The following is a 19,479-nucleotide window of genomic DNA, read 5'->3' as shown; positions in this document are numbered from 1 at the left end:
AATACTGAACCAAATAAGCCAGGCTAAATAGAATGTGCTGTATTTTATAGAAATCAAAACCAGGCAGAACAAATCTACATCAGGAACTGGGAAAGTAGCTATTTTGTGTGTTGGGGCAGCAGTGCCTGGGAGAGGCCACAGGTCAAGGCTACTGCTTGGTCCAGGGCGTGGCAGCCTGGTGTGCTACAGTCCATCTAGATGCACACTTATGATTCGGGCACTCTTCTGTATGTACATTAACATTTCAATAAAAAGCTTATTAAAACATTAAAACTTTCAGAAAAATCCACATTGCTTCAGTAGAAATTAGCACATTAACGTTTAAAAAATACATGTATACGGTGGGGGAAAAAATAGTTCAAAAGAGTACCCAGTGAAAAGTTTAAGAGGGAGTGACGCCAGCAAGGGGCTGATCAATAGCCCCTTGCACTCATCCCCTGACAAAGACACCCAAAGCAGCAAACAACTATATTTTGATGAAAGTCACTAAAAGAGAGCCCCAGAGTGCATCAAGGAGTAGCAGAAATCCAGTAGAGCACAGAAAACCAAGACAGTCACATAAAGGAGGGAAGGAAACATCTGGCCCCCACCACCCACTCCCCCAGAGGGATCAGCCTGAAGCAGAGGGGATATCTCCCTGCAGGGAAAAGGAAGCAAGAGGGGCCCAGTAGCCCCAGCACTCCCCTCAGAGAAGGAACTGACATTGTGCCCCACCCCCATGGACCAGCTGCTGCTGCAACGTGCCCTCCTGGACCTGGACCACTTCGGGAGCATGTCCCACCCAGGGGGAGCAGCCACCGCACCCTTCTTCCAACCTCAGGCTCTGTTGCTGTATATCACACCCACCTAGTGGCCCACCACCCCCGAGCCGCTGTTACACTGTCTTAGGCCATTTAGTGTGGCTGTAACAGAATACTTGAGACTCGGGGTAACTTATTTTATAAAAAAGGTTTATTTGGCTCACCCTGCTTGTGTCTGAAAAGTCCGAGATCGGGCAGCACAAGTGGCGAGGGTCTTGGGCTGCTTCATCTCATGGGGAAAGTGGAAGGCGAAACAGGTGTACGCAAGGGGCTCACATGGCAAGAGAGGAAACACGAGAGTCTAGGAAGCTGAACTCACTCTGATAACAATCCACTCCTGGTAACTAATCCAGTCCCATGAAAAGGCATTAATCTATTCATAAAGGATCTGCCCTGTGACCCAAATACCTCCCACTAGGCCCCACCTCCCACACCACCACATTTGGAATCAAATTTCAAATGGATGAAATTTCAAATGGCTGGTGGGAACAAATGATGTCCACATCACAGCATACACCCCACCTGTGGGGCCACGCTGCTGTGCCCCTCCCCTCCCAGCTGCCATTGTGCCCTGCCCCTTGGAGCCTGAGCTGACTTGGTGCCCTGCTTTCCAGGGAATCAGTGCCTTGGCCAGTCTGAGCAGTCACACCCCCCACTGCACGAGAGCTGAAGCGCTGCCCTGCTTCACAGGGAATCAGTGTCTTGGCTGAGCTGAGCAGCCACACCTGCCAGGGATGAGCCAACATGGCACCCCCATATCCTAGGAAAATGGCATTGGCTGAACTGGGGTACCTTGCCCTTCAGGACAAACAACTGTAGAACCCTGCTTCCTTGGAACTGGACTAGCTCTGGAGAATCTGAGTTGCCCAGGCACCTGCCTCCCCAGGGAGAGAAGTAGTTGCTGCACTGGTCCCTGCCCCTAAGGGCCCAAGCCACAGTAGGGCTCCACCATTCTGGGGTCCTTGCTGATGCTGCATCTGGCCTCACAGAGACTGAGATGCTGCTGTGTCCCACCACGGCAGGTTCCAGAGTCACTATCATGTCACTCCCATGTCCAGAGTCACTCCCATCCCCTGGGAGTTTACTTCTTAAACTCTTCGCAAAAACAGAGCGAGAGGAAATAATTCCAAACACATTTTACCAGGCCAGTATCACCTTAATACCTAAGCCAAACCAAAACACACACACACACACACACACACACACACACACACACACACACCCCAAACAAAGAAAAACTACAGGTCAACTTCTCCAATAAATTAAAAACTGATGCAAATATCCTAAAAAAATTTTAGCAAATAGAATTCAACAACACATCAAAAACATTATACATCGTGTTTCAGTGGGATTTATCCCTGGCATGCAAGACTGGTTTAAAATATGTAAATCAATCAATGTGATATATCACATTAACACAATGAAAGATAAAACGACATGGTCATCTCAATTGATGCAGTAAAAGCATTTAACAAAGTTTAGCAACCTTTCTTGATAAAACCTCTTAATAGTTTATGTATAGAAGGAAAGTTCCTCAACATAATAAAGACCATTTATGAAAAACCCACAGTCTAATCATAGTTAGTGGGGAACAACTAAAGCTTTTCCACTAAGATTGAGTACAAGATAGGGATGGCCAGCCTCATCACTTTTATTCAATAGAGTACTTGCAAGAGCAATCAGATGAGAAAAAAAGGCAACTAAATTAAAGAAGTAAAATTATCTCTATTTGCAGATGACAAGATCCTTTATGTAAAAAACTCCAAAGATTCCACAAAAAACTGTGAGAACTACTAAATCAATTCAGTTAAGCTGCAAGGTATAAACTCAACATATAAAAATCAGTTGCATTTCTATATACAAATAACCTAGCTGACGAAGCAATCAAGAAAATAATCTCATTTACGATAGCATCAAAGAAAAACAAAAACTTAGGAATAAATTTAACCAAGAAGGTGAGAGATGTGTACACTTGAAAACCATAAAACATTGATGAAAGAAATTTAGACATGAACAAATGAAAAGACATCCTATGTTTATGGATCAGAAGACTTAATATTGTTAAAATGTTCACACTACCCAAAGCAAATATACAGATTTAACACAATCCTCATCAAAGTTCTGATGGCATTCTTCACAGAACAGAATAAAACAATCCTGGCCAGGCACAGTGGCTCATGCCTGTAATTCCAGCACTTTGGGAGACCGCAGCGGGCGGATCACGAGGTCAGGAGTTGGAGACCAGCCCGGCCAACATAGTGAAACCCTGTCTCTACTAAAACTACAAAAACTGGCCAGGCATAGTGGCATGTGCCTGTAGTCCCAGCTACCTGGGAGGCTGAGGCAGAAGAATTGCTTGAATCCAGGAGGCAGAGGTTTCAGTGAGCCGAGATTATGCCACTGCACTCCAGCTTGGGCGACAGAGTGAGACTTTGCCTCAAAAAAAAAAAAAAAAAAGAAAAGAAAAAACAATCCTGAAACTCATATGGAACCACAAAAAACCCCAAACAGCCAACAGATTACTGTGAAAGAAAAAGTTGGAGGCATCACACCTCTTGATTTAAAATTGTATTACAAAGCTACAGTAATCAAAACAGTATGGTGCTGGCACAAAAACAAAAAAATAGACCAATGGAACAGAACAGAGACCTTTGAAATAAATCCAAACATATACTGTCAACTAATTTTTGACAAGGGCAAACAAGACAACACAATGGTAAAAAAGATAGTCTCTTCAATAATAGGATTTTCACATGCAAAAGAATAAAACTGGACCCTGATCATACACCATACACAAAAATCAACTCAAAACAGATACAAGACCAAAGACCCAAATAAGACCTGAAACCATAAAACTCCTAGAAGAAAACATAGGGGGAAAGCCTCTTGACATTGGCCTTAGCAATAATTTTTTGGATATCGCACCACAAGCCAGGCTACAAATGTAAACATAAACAAGGAGGACTGCATCAAACTAAAAAGCTTCTGCACAGCAAAGGAACAACCAACAAAATGAAAGGGGAACCTACAGACTGGAAGAAATATTTGCAAACCACATATCTGATAAAGTGTTAATATCCAAAAATCAGTAAAGAACTCTTACAACTTAATAGCAGAAAAACAACCCAGTTGAAAAATGGGCCAAATAGGAAATGACCAGTAGGAAATGGGGAGATGTACATTAAAATAATACAAAGTAGCAGACATGTAGGATGAACAAGTTAGAGATCTAGTGTACATCATGAGGGCTATAGTTAATAAAAATATATTGTCTTTGGGATTTTTGTTAAATAAGTAGATTTTAGCTGTTCCTGTCACACAAACAAAAATCTAACTATGTGAGATGGTAGCTATGTTAATTTGCTTCACTATAGTAACCAGTTTACTATCTATATGTATCCTTTAAGATCATATTGTCAACCTCAAATACATAAAATAAAATTTATTTTAAAAAGGAAAAGTTTGTCTTCAATCCAGAAAGAACCACTATTACCATTTTTTGGTGTTCCATTCCAAAATATCCCAAAAATATACAATTGTTCAATCAAATTTAACGTTAGACTTTATACTTGAACATTCAAAGTACGTAAGAAATTATAGAAAAGTGTCTGTGTGACTCCCTGTCTGTAGAGCACAGGCTTCATCTCTACTAACACACACACGACCAGTACCTTATACAGAGAGTCCTTGTTTGCCTTTAGTCTGACACCATGGGCGAGCCTGAGTTGGCCCGTGGTCCGCATTCCTGACCAGGTGTCTTTCTCACCCACTGGTTTCAACAAAGATGCTACTGGGTTATAGAAGGCTGGGATGGAAACAGGATACCAAGTTCGCATGAAGACAATATCTGAAAAGAGGTAATTTACTTTAACATTTTCAAAAGAAGATTCATATCCATATTGCGAAGAAACAAAGAACAAAACCTTCACTCCAAACTTCTCTACCTGGCTGCAAAGTATTTGAAGGGAAAGGTCGCTAAGGGAACTATTCTCATAGATCACAGAACTGTTACTGGGTGTGGCCAGGGGGCTGAAGACACAAGCGAATGGGCACACCGCATAAGACTGGGAGATCTAAGGCTGGAGCTGCTCAACTCTCTGGAGACCTGACTCCAGCCTCTCATCACACTGGCTAGAAGTCAAGCATGAATGGTAACACCCTGCCCTGAATACTACTTAAGACATTCACCGCTCATCAGCAGCTTATCCTCAAAGCTGGCCCAGAAAGCTCCTTCTGGAGCTCAGAGTGCTTTCTTGATCTGCCCCCTTATCCCAATGACAGTTCAAATCACAGCACCTTCAAATTTGGCCACGTCCAAGGCAGAATTAAACATTCCCTACAGGTGTAGCAAGATAAAAAAACACACACACACAAAATCATATACTTTATGCTTTACTTCTTACTTCAAACATACATCCTTGATTAAAGAACAAAAACAACTCACTGAAGGGTGATAAAATAATCAAAATGTATTTGCCCCTGAAAGTGGAATTACTACCTCAAAAAGAATACAACTCTTTCATTTTCCCCAAAATAATCATGTGAGTTCATGGGCATGCTCATCACTGCTGTCTGTGTGGAAGAGAAGATCGAAGAGGGATTTACTGGACTGAATTGGCCTAGGAAGCCTTTGCTGGCATCTCTCAGACTGGACTGCAGCCCAGATCCTTTTACTCAGATGCATGCACTTAGAACATGAAAACAGTAAGATAAATGCTGGTGGTATTATTACCTTATATTGCAAGAACATTTTATGACTTCCTAACTCTGTGTTTTCAATAGAAACATCCCCACTAATGAAATTGTCAATAAATGCTGCTCAAACCACCCTCCCCAAATACTGAAAAACAGTACGTCCGTTTCTCTGTACCCTTGCCAAGTTGTCTGCAAATGCTTTGTCGATTTTTCTACCGAGTTAGACAAACTTGTGATTTTTTTCCCTTTCTTAACACAAATTTAAAAAGTAGGAAACAAAACCTAGTGGATAAAATGACATATTTTCAATATGAGTTCTGTGGCAGTCTCACATGGAAGTCAGGAGTAACAGCCTCAATTCCTAAATAGCTGTTTACCACTGCTTTTTTGAGCATATTTAAGTAATACAGAATATAAAGGAGCAAACAAAATATGAAGTTTATAAAAGATTTCAAACACTTTTCTAAAAATGAGGCCCATATTTTAGAGGTATTTCATTCCTTTTCTCAAACAATATGGAGATTTATAAATATGAGAATATATAGATATACAGACCTTAATAAATGAAGTGGAAAACCAGTTAGCTTTAATTTCTTCACAATTTTTATGGATTTATCCAGATCAAGGACAACTCCTGTGGCAGCTATCCGAAAATCAGGCTAACAGGAACCCCAAAATTTGAAAATAGGAATAATATTAGCAAAAGAAAAACTTCAATTCTATGTGACACAATAAATTACCAAAGTGAATTTTACTTACAATTAGCTAAGAAAAACAAGAGAGACCATCTGAACTTGCAACCCAGTGGTTTGACAAAAGCAATCCAAAACTTTAAAGTTGGTAAGCCAAACTAACAAGGGTGACTTGAGGCTGGGCACAGTGGCTCATATCTATAATCCCAGCTACTTGGGAGGCTGAGGCAGGAGAACCGCTTAAACCCAGGAGGCAGAGGTTGCAGCGAGCCAAGATCGTGCCACTGCACTCCAGCCTGGATGACAGAGTGCGACTCTGTCTCAAAAAAAAAAAAAAAAAAGAAAGAAAAAAAAAGGCTACTTGAGTACTTTCCTGAGAGTGATTTCAGAGGAATGTAATTTTACTATAATGATTTATTTGGAACGAAATGGAAAAGAAAAATACAGTTGCAATGTTTAGGAAATTAAAATTTGGACCTCCAGGGAAGATTCCATCTGCTCATTATTCTGCTTTCTTCTCTGTTAAATGGGACCAGTAAACCCTGCCCTGCGTGACTGGTCAAATGAAAATGGAGTGAACAGACTGCTACCCCAGCACAGCTGCAGGGAGTCTTGTGTCTGGGTGGTCTCTGATGGCTCCTCATAACCTCATATAGTGCTTAGCACATGGTGAGCACTGCTTAAATACTTGCTTAGATAAATAAATGCAAAAGATGCACAAAAATAGGAAATGTACCATTATAATTCTTCCACCTCCCCTCCTCTAATCCCACACCCTACTGAAAAGGATGTACGAAGATTAAAAGCAAAGGGAAATTTACTTTATATTAATAAAAATGAGTAATTTTCAACTTAAAGTCTCATGTACATAATAACCCACATTCAGGATATATTTCTCAAACCAATCTGTAAAAGAAATCATCCAAGATAGTTACCATTATGCCACTGACAGACTGTATTGCCAAGAAACCAGTTCCCTGTGGAGTGATAGGGTCTTAAAGGAAAAGGAAAAAAAGAAATATAGCAAACCACAAACTTTAGATTCTAGTTTAACATACTGGATATGGACATTTAGATTTGGATATAGATTTACATATATACTCCAAACCACCTCCCCGCTCCCAGAAAAGAGAAAAATCTTAGGAGTGGAATTTTATGAAAGGAAAAGCACAAAGCTAAAATAACGCAGCCTGTAAGGTTTAATCTCGGCAATAGGCAAGTTATTGTAATCATATTTTACCCCAAAAGGCTGCTCCACAATGCATGTGCTGTGGGGTATACTTTAGAAGCCTTTGTCTTCCATTGTGGTCTTCGATATAATAGAGCGGGATGGTCTGAAACCTCCTCCACCCTACAGAAAATATGATTGGATCTCGGGACTTGAGGATTTTCTTATACCAGCGATGTTTCTTCAGATGCATCTGAGGGGGATGAGAGGGTAAGATGATTGATGGAGGGGAAATCCACAGAGCCTCAGGCACCAAATATGCAGCAAAAGGACCCACCTCCACGTATCCAACATTTCCCTCGCTGTTGCCCAAGCCACCCAGGATAATGGGGTAATGGGGGTCAATGTTCTGCACAAATTCACAGGGAACATTTTCAATCTCAACGCGGACGTACATCCCAGGTCGAAAACCCTCATACTGAACTCTGGCTTCATCATCTTGATCTTCAAATTCTGCATGATTCAGCTGTACATGACGGGGCGGGGGGCGGGGAACCTGTATGCTGTTATCTGTAATAAACATAGGATTAACATGAACAAATGAGCAATTTCTAAATAAAGGAACTGTGGACAAAATTATGTAGGCTTTATCCTATTAAAAATACTACACATTTGGCCGGGTACAGTGGCTCATGCCTGTAATCCCAGCACTTTGGGAGGCCGAGGCGGGCAGATCACATGAGGTCAGGAGTTTAAAACCAGCCTCGCCAACATGGTGAAACCCCGTCTCTACTAAAAATACCAAAATCAGCTGGGTGTGGTGGTGCCTGCCTATAGTCCCAACTACTCAGGAGGCAGAGGTGAGAGAATCGCTTGAACCTGGGAGACGGAGGTTGCAGTGAGTCAAGATCGTGCCACTGCACTCCAGCCTGGGCAATAGAGCGAGATTCCATCTCAAAAAACAAAAAAAAACAAAAAAAACCTACACATTTTACCTCTACAGTCTGCTCAGAATATGTCCCAACCGTTTTCTTCTCTCCTGCTCCAAGGGACAGCAAATGTAGATAACTGTGGAGCCCTGCGTGCTCAAACATTGGAAACATCCCCAGTCCACACCTTCTTTCCTTCCTCTCCAAACAATTCTTTCACACTTTTCTCTTGTCTTCAAACACCCACCACCACCCTCACCTTCACTCAGCTGATGGCTGTTTCCTGATTCACTCCAAAACCAAAAGAACCTCTATGGTCAACCCTCTACCAGGGTTTCCTCCCATATCCAGCCTTATCAGAGCTCTGACCTGGCCCATAGAGGAGCTATGTGTGGCTATTTAAATTAAAATTAATTACAATTACATAATATTAAAAATGCAGTTCCTCAATCACACTAGTCACACTGGAAGTGGTCCATATCAACCTGCGGCCAGTGTTACAATATTGGGAAGCACAGACGTGCATCTCCATGATCACAGAAAGTTCTACGGGCAGCTCAGGCACAGATGATTTGTCCATGCCTTTACTCCGGGCCACACATCACTTGCTCACTAGACACCATCCACTCTTCCTGGATTTTATTCCAACAGCTCTTCCCTCTGTTCTCTCTCTTATCTCAAAACCTTTTGATTCCACTTCTTCCACCAAAAACTGCTTCATTTCTCTGCTTCTCTCTGCAGCAAAACCCCACAAAAGTTTTCCGCAGTTGCAGCCTCCAGTTCCTCTGCTCCCATTCTCCTACATCCATGAAAATTGGTGCTTGCCAAGATTGCTGAAGGCCTCCACGCTGAAGGACTCCTCCAGTGGTCAACTCTGCCTTTACCGTAGTTAACACTGCAGCGGGATCTGAACAGTGCTTCGCCTCCATGTACAACTGGACTCCTGCGTGCCTGCATGCTCACACTGCTTCTCCCTCTCCCTCCTCGGCACTGCTCAGGCCTCACAGCCGCAATCGCCCCATCTCGCCCATGCCAGTCTTGCTCCTCCCAGTCACTCTGCACTCACTCCCTGGCCACCTCACAGAGTTAAGTGGCATCTACATGCTGACGGCTGTACATCTAAGTCCCTGGCCAGACCTGTCTCTCCAGACTTGACGCTCCGCTTGTCTGCATGATACCCAGCCAAACCAAACATCATCTTCCCAAAACTGCATCTGCAGACAGTTTCCTATCTAACCTGCAACAACCCATCCTTCCAGGAATTTCCAGCCGCCATCCTCATTTCCTCTCACACATCCCACATTCAGTCCACCAGGAAATCCTACTGACCCAGCTTCCAAATAAACTCTATCCAGGTTTGACTCTTTGTCTCATCTCCACTGCCAGCCCTCTGGTTTGTGCCACCGGACTGATCTCTACCAGACTGATCTCTTGGCAGAGTGATCTGATTACCTGAATGTCTCTCCTCTGCTCAAAACCCTCCAAGGACTCCCATTTCAGAGTGAAACATTCAGTCTTTTCCAATGGCACACAAGGCTCTAGGTAATTTTAAATTGTAAATGGTGTGAAGCAAAAACTTCAGAGTTAGCCTAGTCATGCCTTTCAAAGGTCAACACAGACTAGCAACCACTAAGCTAATGCCTAATCAGGAAACAGTCCTTTGACTAGATGAAGACCTAGGATGAAACTCCGTTTCACAAATCATACACCTAATCTGTTCCAGCTTACACAGGCACTCCTGGCCTCACTAACAAGACGCAACTCAGATGCTCACCATCAACTGTACACACGTTTCTGTGTCTGTCTCCTTCAGAGTCAGATCACCGCCTCCAGCAACCTGCTCAGCACCCCCAGGCAGGAGGGCCACACCATCTCCCTTATCTCCGCATCTGACCTTATACTCCACATGTCCTTCTGAACTCTGACCAGGATGTTTTGAGAGCACTTCCCCTGGGAGCTCTTGTGTGTCCATAAGCCACACAGGCCACTGATCACCTGCCATTCAAATCAGGGAGCAGCGATCAGAATAGGCAGCATTGGCTTGCACTGAAATGAACACACTGTCTTAGATCACTACATTGTAAAAGTCTCAAAAGTAGAGACCATGTCTCAGTCATTTCGGTTTCCTAATTCTTGTTACAAAATAGGTATGGATCTTTTTCTGGTGACCTTCTGACTGTAGAAACAATGAGCTCACTGCATGAATAAACACACTCACATGCATCTACCCAGGAGTCCAACTGAAAGGCACAGAAGCAGGATAGGAAGCAGGGACCCAAAGAAAGTCAGGGATTCCTGCACTATGTGATAGTCTTGACAAGGGGCTAAGAGGAACTGAGGTTTCTCACCTGTGCTTGTTTCTGCATTTCTCCTTTAAGATCATCAAAATATGTGCTTTCTCCTTCATCATATTCCACATCAAACATCTCCTTCAATTTTCTCTTCTTATCCAAATGCTTTTTCTTGGCACTTTCTTCTTCATCAGGGTCAATTTCTTTCTTGTTTCTCTATATCTTCATTCTTAAATTTCCAGAAGAAAAAATTTTGTGTATGTTTATGAAGGTCTTTTCTTTAAACATTAGATTTTTTAAAGTTCTATTTAAACAAAAATCTTAGCAAAAATCTGTTATCGTTATCAATAAAACAAAACAAAACACAACATAACCTTGGTCTCTGAATAACATGGTACTGCTACATGAAATTGTTACATCTGCATTACAATTAGCTGCTATTCCTTAAGCTGGCTGGGAACACAAACTAGAATAAAAATAACAGATATGTCCCTCACCCAGATGCTCCCAGACCCTGTTCTAAAGAAATATTAGGGAGAACAGGGACTTCATTCTTTTAAATGACACTTAAATTTAAAAAGAGGAGAATGATGGCAATGGTTGAATGTAAGTCTGAGAAGCTAAGACTTCTGTGAGTGAAAAATCACAGTGGACTTGGCAAATGACTATGGCAAGAAACGGTAGTAACTGTCGTCCAAAACTTAACAAGTAAACAAGAAAGCTTCTCTTTGGTCTCCACATCCCCACCCTTTAGGAAGGAATCTATCCATCCCATCTGCAATCTTCACACATCACAAGTAAGATTTGCATTTCTCAATATGGGCCTCTCTCAGAACACAATGACCAAGAACAGCCAGCTACAACAAAGACATACCTGAGTATCGGGGCCCGATTTTCCCTTGTGCACGTCCCCTGTTTCCAAGTCTTCAAAGTCACCATAGAGCTCCTCTGGGAAAAGAACACCCAAAGGCTGCTCTGTGAGCCTGGCATGCATGTGCTGCTGGCCCCACCCACGACAGGCCCACAATGCGCTCCGTGTTCCAAGCCTCATTCTCACTGCTCCCGTCACTAGACACACAGGCAAAACTTTGCACTAGGGAATGCTTCATAAAACGGTTAGTATTTCATCATCTGTTTAGGTAAACTAAATGGACCCAATCCACATTTCCGCACTTCATGTCAAAATCCCAATCTCAATTTTTCCAGTGTAGATAATGGACACTCTTTTGTTTCTTTTTTTCTTTTTTTCTGGAGACGGAGTCTCACTATGTCACTCAAGCTGGAGTGCAGTGGCACAATCTCAGCTCACTGCAACCTCTGCCTCCCAGGTTCAAGCAATTCTACTGCCTCAGTCTCCCGAGTAGCTGGGATTATAGGCACCTGCCACCAGGCCTGGCTCATTTTTGTATTTTTTTTTTTTTTTTTTTTTTTTTTTTTTGAGACGGAGTCTCGCTCTGTCGCCCAGGCTGGAGTGCAGTGGCGCGATCTCGGCTCACTGCAAGCTCCGCCTCCCGGGTTCACGCCATTCTCCTGCCTCAGCCTCCCGAGTAGCTGGGACTACAGGCGCCCGCTACCACGCCCGGCTAATTTTTTGTATTTTTAGTAGAGACGGGGTTTCACCGTGTTAGCCAGGATGGTCTCGATCTCCTGAACTCGTGATCCGCCCGCCTCGGCCTCCCAACATTTTTGTATTTTTAGTAGAGATGGGATTTCACCATATTGGCCAGGCTGGTCTCGAACTCCTGACCTCGTGATGTGCCCTCCTCAGCCGCCCAAAGTGCTGGGATTACAGGCATGAGCCACTGCAACCGGCCAATGGACACTCTTTATGAAAGACACAGAGGTCTATCTGTGTCCCCCAAACGAATAATTCAAAGAGTGAATGGAAAAGTCCCACGCTGATAACCAGTACATGTGAAAAGGAGTCTCAATGTAAGTTCAACACAACACAATCATGTAACACACCTAGGGGAAATTTTAGATTATATAAAACATAGCATTTAGATTAAGAGTAGAGCCCCAAACCACACCAAACCCATGGGAAGAGCTTATTCACTTATTCATTCCTTCATTTGTTTTTGGAGCTCTGGGCTCAATTATAGTTCCCACTCTTAAAAGAAATAGACAAGTAAGGCTGGGTGCAGTGGCTCACACTGTAAACCCAGCACTTTGGGGGCCCGGGAGGCAGAGGTTGCAGTGAGCCATAATTGCATCACTGAACTCCAGCCTGGGTGACAGAGTGAGACCCTGTCTCAAAAAAAGGATAACAAAAGAAAGAGGCAAGTTAAAACTCATTTGGGAGAGCAATATTTAGAAGGCTATTAAAACATTTTCACATAAGGGCCAAAGAACCAGGTAGACATTATAAAAGATAGGAAGCTCCTATTTGTAATAAAAGCAAAAAAGGATAAAATAGGAATAAACCTAACAAGAAGTGCACCGGAACTTTATTTTTTAAAAAAGAAGAAAAGCTTTAATAGGCTACCAAAGGACAAAAGGAATAGCATCACTACCAACACTCGTAAGTGCTCTCCACACCAGGCACTGCGTTAAGTACTTTCCTTGCCTTAACCACATTCTTCAACCCAAGGAAGTAGGTGTTGTAAATATTATATACTGAATAATGATACGTCCTCATTTGAAAAGAAAGATTCGACATCACAAATATGCCAATTCTCCCTTTAGCACAGTTACAACCCGAAACCACCACTAAGGATTTCTGGTCTAGAGAAGATAACACATTATACCCTCCTAAGAAATGTAACCCAAATTGTAGAAATAATAGACAGGAGAGGATCAATGGAGAATTCCAAAAGGTGGACAGAAAAAGGCTGCTGAGGGACTCTAGGACTAGGGAATGCATAGTAGCCAGGTGTCTCCCTGGACCTCATCCAATAGGAAGGTGACCCAGGCCCAGAGTTTCCCAACTCCCAACGTAGCAATAGAAGGCAACCCAGGCAGACTCAGTCCCTGCAGATCAAAGGAGATCTTCCCCACAACAAGAAAACCAGCTCCACACACCAAGACCACCACCATTCCCCACCCACCTAGCTGCAGCAGGTGGCCCAGCCTGGGGCAGCTCCCCTGTTCCCTCAGGTGGGCAACAGAAGGGACTGGTGGGAGAATCCCAGTGATACATATAAGCCAAACAGACCAAAATAACACCATGAAAGCTCTGAAATTAAATTGCCATTGCAATCACAGCCCACAAAGTAGACCAAGACCTACAGACTAAACCTAAACAGGAGGACTGCCTGCAAAAATAAAAAAAATTACATAGGCAGATGTTGGAACCATCTGACTCATCACTTGTAACAGCCAGTATAAAAATGCTTCAACAAGCAACTACAAATCCTATGGCAACAATCAAAGAACTGAAAACGTCAGCAAAGAAACTGAAGAAGAATCAAATGGAAATTACAGAAATATAAAATACAGTAAAAGAAATTTTAAAAAAATCTAACTGGATGGGCTCTATTGAGTAAAAGTGGAGACGACAGAGGAGAGAATCAGAGAAGCTGAAACCTGATCAACAGAATTCACCCGGTCTAAACAATAGAGAGAAAATAACCTGAAAACAAATGAACAGAGTTGCACGGACCTGTGGGACGATAACAAAAGACCACGCATTTATGTTATCTGAGTCCCACAGGAGACCAGAGCTGTGAAAGCATGCAAATAACTAATTCCTGAGGCTTCCCACATTTGGTGAAAGATATAAACTTACAGATTCAAGAAGCTGAGCAAACCTCAAAGTATACCAAAAGAAAGCAACACTGATTAAACTTTCAAAACTAAAAACAAAGACCAAAAATGGCAGAATGCCTGTAGGGACACACCAATTCAAATGCCATGGAGGCCAGAAGGAAGTGGCACAACATTTTCAAGTGCTTAAAAAAAACCAACCAAACAAAAAAACCAACCAAACAAAAAACTGTTCGCTGCAAATTCTATATCCCATGAAACTACCCTTCAGAAATGAAGAGAGAAATAAAGACATTCTCCGAGGAAGAGAATATAGGAATTTGTCACTGGTCAATTTAGACATGCTAAAAAGTGGCTACAGAAATATGTTCTGTCATTTCCACAATACAAAAAATTAAAACAAAAAAATCAAAATAAAAAATGGCTATAGAAAGTTCTTATGCAGAAGGGATGAATATGGGACTACGGGAGGAGGGACAAAGGAAAGACCAGAAATGTGGATACATACGCGAGACAATCCACAGTTCTTAAAATCACATTTGACGACTGAAACAAAAACTATACCACCACCTAATACTCAAGCCAGTGATTTATACAAGTGGAAAAGGTAAAGAGACATAAATGCAAGGCAGGTTTCCACACTTTGAAGTGGTAAATACTGGTACCAGTAGACTACTATATTACAATACACATATTGTAACATCCAGAGCAAACACTTTAAGACTATACAAAGAGATACACGCAACAACATTATACAGAAATAGATCAAGATGGAGGGAAAGAAAAAGGAAACAAAAAAGCAAATAATAAAAACATCAGACATAAGCAATTATGTAACAATAAGCACCTTAAATGTAAATGGTCTAAATAAACCAAAAGACAGATTGATGGAGAGCCTATAATAAACACATGGCCCAACTAAATACTGTTCATAAGAAACTTCAAACTCACTTAAGGACCTAAGTAGGTTGAAAGTAAAAGAATGGAGAAAGATATCCTGTGAAATCATTAATTTTTTAAGGAAGCAGGAGTGAATATATTAATATCTCATGAAGTAGACTTCAAGCAAAATAATTTACCAGAGCTGGAGAGGGTCTTCGTTGAATTTTAAGATCTAAAATTTCCTATGCTGCCTTGACATCTTTGAGCCTCACAGGGCCCCAAAGGCCTAGCCGTGGGTTTTCCTGTTTCTACCAGACACCCCCTACCCTGCCACCCAACAGGAAAGGCTCCCCACCTGGCTAGTTCTTTTATCAGCCAGAACAGTTGCACCTCAGCCTAAGAAGTTTCACTTCACCTGTCTGCCAGCCCATGAATTTATTCAAACAAGCCAATTGCATTCCCCCTCGGGAACCATTGGTCATTGTGTGCTCTTGTTACTATCAAGCCTGCCTGCTTCCTCAGCCCGCAGCCCTCACTCCGCTACAGAGTGCGGTGCCCATCTGACCCTGTGTGGCATGCAGTGTCCTCCTCTGAGCTGTGGGTATATGTGACTAAAACACTGCTGTTAATCTCATCCATCCACGCCAGGTGTCGTGTTCAGCCATCTCCTACACTTTAGGGCAGGGACCCCTCCTTCACCAATGGGGTGAAAAGGAAGTGACCATAACAACTGCTTAATGACAAAAGGATTGACCCACCAAGAAGACATCTACTTCAACATCCTCCTCTTAGCAACTGTTAAAACTAGGCAGAGGCCGGGCACAGTGGCTCATGCCTGTAATCCCAGAACTCTGGGAGGCAAAGACAAAGGATAGCTTGAGGCCAGGAGTTCGAGCCTGGGCAACATAGCAAGGCCTCATCTCTCCAAAAAATTTTAAATTTAGTCAGGTGTGGCGGCACACACCTATAGTACCAGCTAGTCAGGAGGTTAAGCCAGGGGAAGTACTTGACCCTAGGAAGTCAAGGCTGCAGTGAGTCATGTTCGTGCCACCGCACTCTAGTGTAAGTGACAGAGTGAAACTAGGCAGAAAAGGAGCAAGGATTTACAAAAGATCTGAACAGTCAACCAGCAAAATCTGACATCCGTATAATACCCCACTCCCCAACAGCAAAACACACACATTTTTAAAGCCAATAGAAATCTACCAAGATGAAGTACATTTGGGGCAATAAAAGAAATCACAGCAAATCTCACTGTGCGCCCCTCTGTGTCGGCGCCGGCGCCGTGCCCCTCTCTGCGCCTTCTTTTTTCACCATGGGGAAGCGTTTGGGGGCCTCTTGAGGGACCCCCTAGATGCTTCCACTCAGAGCCCCCAAAGCCGGGGAGCCTCCACTCCTCTGTCTGCAGTCTCCCCTGTCGGTTCTCGCTACCCAGGGTTCAGTGGCCTGGGGGCTGACGGAGGGGGTCGCCTCTGCCAAGGCCCCTCCCGGCGCCTCCCTGGCTCATCCAGCCCACCTTCCTCCCACGCTGGCTCACGCAAAGTGCTCTGGTCACCAGGAGCCCTTCCTGACCAGCCCCAGCCCCTTCTTGGCCTTCGCCCACCTGGCCTCCCCTGGAGCCCTGACCTGGGTGCCAGGCCTGCTGGGTCCAGAGCCCACCCCGCCCTGAACAACCCCGAGTCTCAGCCACCCTCAGTTCTTACCCTTTCACAGCTGGGGAGTGGAGCCTGGGCCTGCGCCTCTCCGCGCCAGCGCCGGCACTGTGCGCCTCTCCGCCGCTGTCCGCCTCTCCGCCGCGCCGCCGCTGTCCGCCTCTCCGCCGCGCCGCCGCTGTCCGCCCCTCCGCCGCTGTCCGCCCCTCCGCCGTGCCGCCGCTGTCCGCCTCTGCGCCGCTGTCCGCCTCTCCGCCGCTGTCCGCCTCTCCGCCGCGCCGCCGCTGTCCGCCTCTCCGCCGCTGTCCGCCTCTCCGCCGCGCCGCCGCTGTCCGCCGCGCCGCCGCTGTCCGCCTCTCCGCCGCTGTCCGCCCCTCCGCCGTGCCGCCGCTGTCCGCCTCTGCGCCGCTGTCCGCCTCTCCGTCGCTGTCTGCCTCTCCGCCGTGCCGCTGCTGTCCGCCTCTCCGCCACGCCCGCGCCGGCGCTGTGTGCCTTTGCGAGGGCGGAGCTGCGTTCTCCTCAGCACAGACTTCGGAGATACAGCGAAGGCGGAGCAGTGTTCACCTCAGCACAGACCCGGGCGGGCGGGCGGGCCGGTGGCACCGCGAGGGCGGAGCTGCGTTCTGCTCTGCACAGACCTTGGGGCACTGCCTCGCTTTGGGACAACTCGGGGCCGCATCGACGGTGAATAAAATCCTTCCTGTTTGCAGCCCTGTTTGTGGTTGGTGGCAGCGATGGACACTGCAGCCAGCCAGAGCGTAGAAAGGCATCGGGGTAAGTGCACTATCCAGGCTGCACTGCGGGTGGCCTGGGACGGGTTGGGAGCCCTATCTCAGGCGTCACTGCCCGTCTTGGGTGGCTGGTTGGGTGTGCTATCTGGGGCTGTGCTGCCTGCACCGGGGGGTGGTTTGGGGGCCCAAACCGGGGCTGCACTGCCTTTGGCGGGGAGCCGGTTGGGGGCACTATCCCAGACTGTATTGCTGGCAACAGTGAGGTGGGCTAAGTGTGCTATCCAGGGCTGCACTGTGCGGCTGTGGGGGGTGGTGTGGCGGTTTCGGGTTGAGGGCGCTATGGGGTGCTGTAATGCCCATGGTGCAGGGAGGCGGGGCGGTTTGCCTACGTTGGGTGTGCTATTGGGGGGGGGTGACACTGCTGGTGGTAGGGGGCAGGGTGGGTTGGGGGCCATATCAGGGGCTGCACTGATTGCTTTAGCTAGGATTTCTGGTACTATGTTAAACAACAGTGGTGACAGGGGGCATCCTTATCATGTTCCAGATCTTAGAGGAAAAGCTTTCCATTTTTCCCCATTCCATATGATTCTAGCTGTGGGTGTCTTTCCTGTAGTTTTTATTATGTTGCGGTATGTTTCTTCTGTGCCCGTTTCTTTGAGGATTTATAGCATGAAGGGATGTTGAATTTCATCAAATGCTTTTTCGGTTTCAGTTGACGTGATGATACTGTTTTTGTCGTTTATTTGGTTGATATGATGTATCACATTGTATGTTGAGTGACCCTTGATCCCAGGGATACATTGCACTTGATCATGATGAATTATCTTTTTAATGTATTACTGAATTTGATTCAGTGGTATTTTGTTGAGGATTTTTGCATCAATATTAGAGATCCTGGCCTGTAGTTTCCTTCTTTGATGCTTTTGTCTGATTTTGGTATCACAGTAATAATGGTCTCATAGAATAAGTTTGGAAGTATTCCCTCCTGTTTTTCAAAATAGTTTGAGCAGGATTTGTACTAGGTCTTTAAATTGTTTGGTGTGAAGCCATCAGCAGTGAAGACATCAGTTCCTGGGCTTTTCTTTACTGGGAGACTTTTTCTGATGGCTTCAATCTCATTACTTGTTACCAATCTGTTCTGGTCTTGGATGTTTTCGTTGTTTAACCTAAGTAGGTTGTATGCATCTAGGAATTTGCCAATTTCTACTAGGCTTTCCAATTTATTGGCATATAATAGCCAGTTATGATCCTTTGAATTTCTGAAGTATTAGTTGTAATGTCTCCTTTTTTTAATCTGTTGATTTTATTTATTTGAATCTTGTCTCTTTACTTAGCCTGGTTAAAAGTTTGTCAATTTTGTTTAGCTTTCCAGAAAACCAACTTTTCGTTTAATCTTGTGAGGTTTTTATTTCAATTTTGTTTCTGCTACGATCTTATTTATTTTCTTATTTTCGGTTTAGTTTGTTCTTTACTAGTTCTTTAAGATGTATTGTTTACTTGAAGTTTTTCTTTTGTTTGGATGGTAGGCACTTATAGCTGTAAATCTCTGCCTTTGTACTGCTTTCTGCATAACAAGTTTTGGTATACTGTGTGTTCATTACCCTTTGTTTCATGAAATTTTTGAATTTCTGTCTTAGTATCTTCATTGACCCGCTAGTCATTTATTCAGGAGGGTAGTGTTTAACTTCCATGTGATTGTATTATTTCCAAAATTACTTTTCTTATTGATACCTATTTTTATTCCTTTGTAGTGAAAGAAGATGGCCACAGAGACAGACAGCAGCGTGGTCAGAGTGGTAGGAGCCGGCCATCAGCGAGAGCTGCTCCATGCCTGGCTGCTGGGTGCTAGAGTCTGCGGCCCACTGGCTTGCCTCACTGTGGTTGGTGGTGGCGGTGACAGAGACTGCAGCATGACCAGAGTGGTAGGACAGGGG

General features: G+C 44.4%; 1 pseudogene; it reads right to left on the bottom strand.

The window, feature by feature from the left end:
• Positions 4,472 to 11,524, bottom strand: BMS1P16 (BMS1 pseudogene 16; annotated as a pseudogene).

The sequence above is a fragment of the Homo sapiens genome, chromosome 15, assembly GCF_000001405.40.
Source record: "Homo sapiens chromosome 15, GRCh38.p14 Primary Assembly".
NCBI classification, from domain to species: domain Eukaryota; kingdom Metazoa; phylum Chordata; class Mammalia; order Primates; family Hominidae; genus Homo; species Homo sapiens.
The sequence above is the reverse complement of the archived record's forward strand: the minus strand, read 5'-3'. Positions and strand labels throughout refer to the sequence as shown.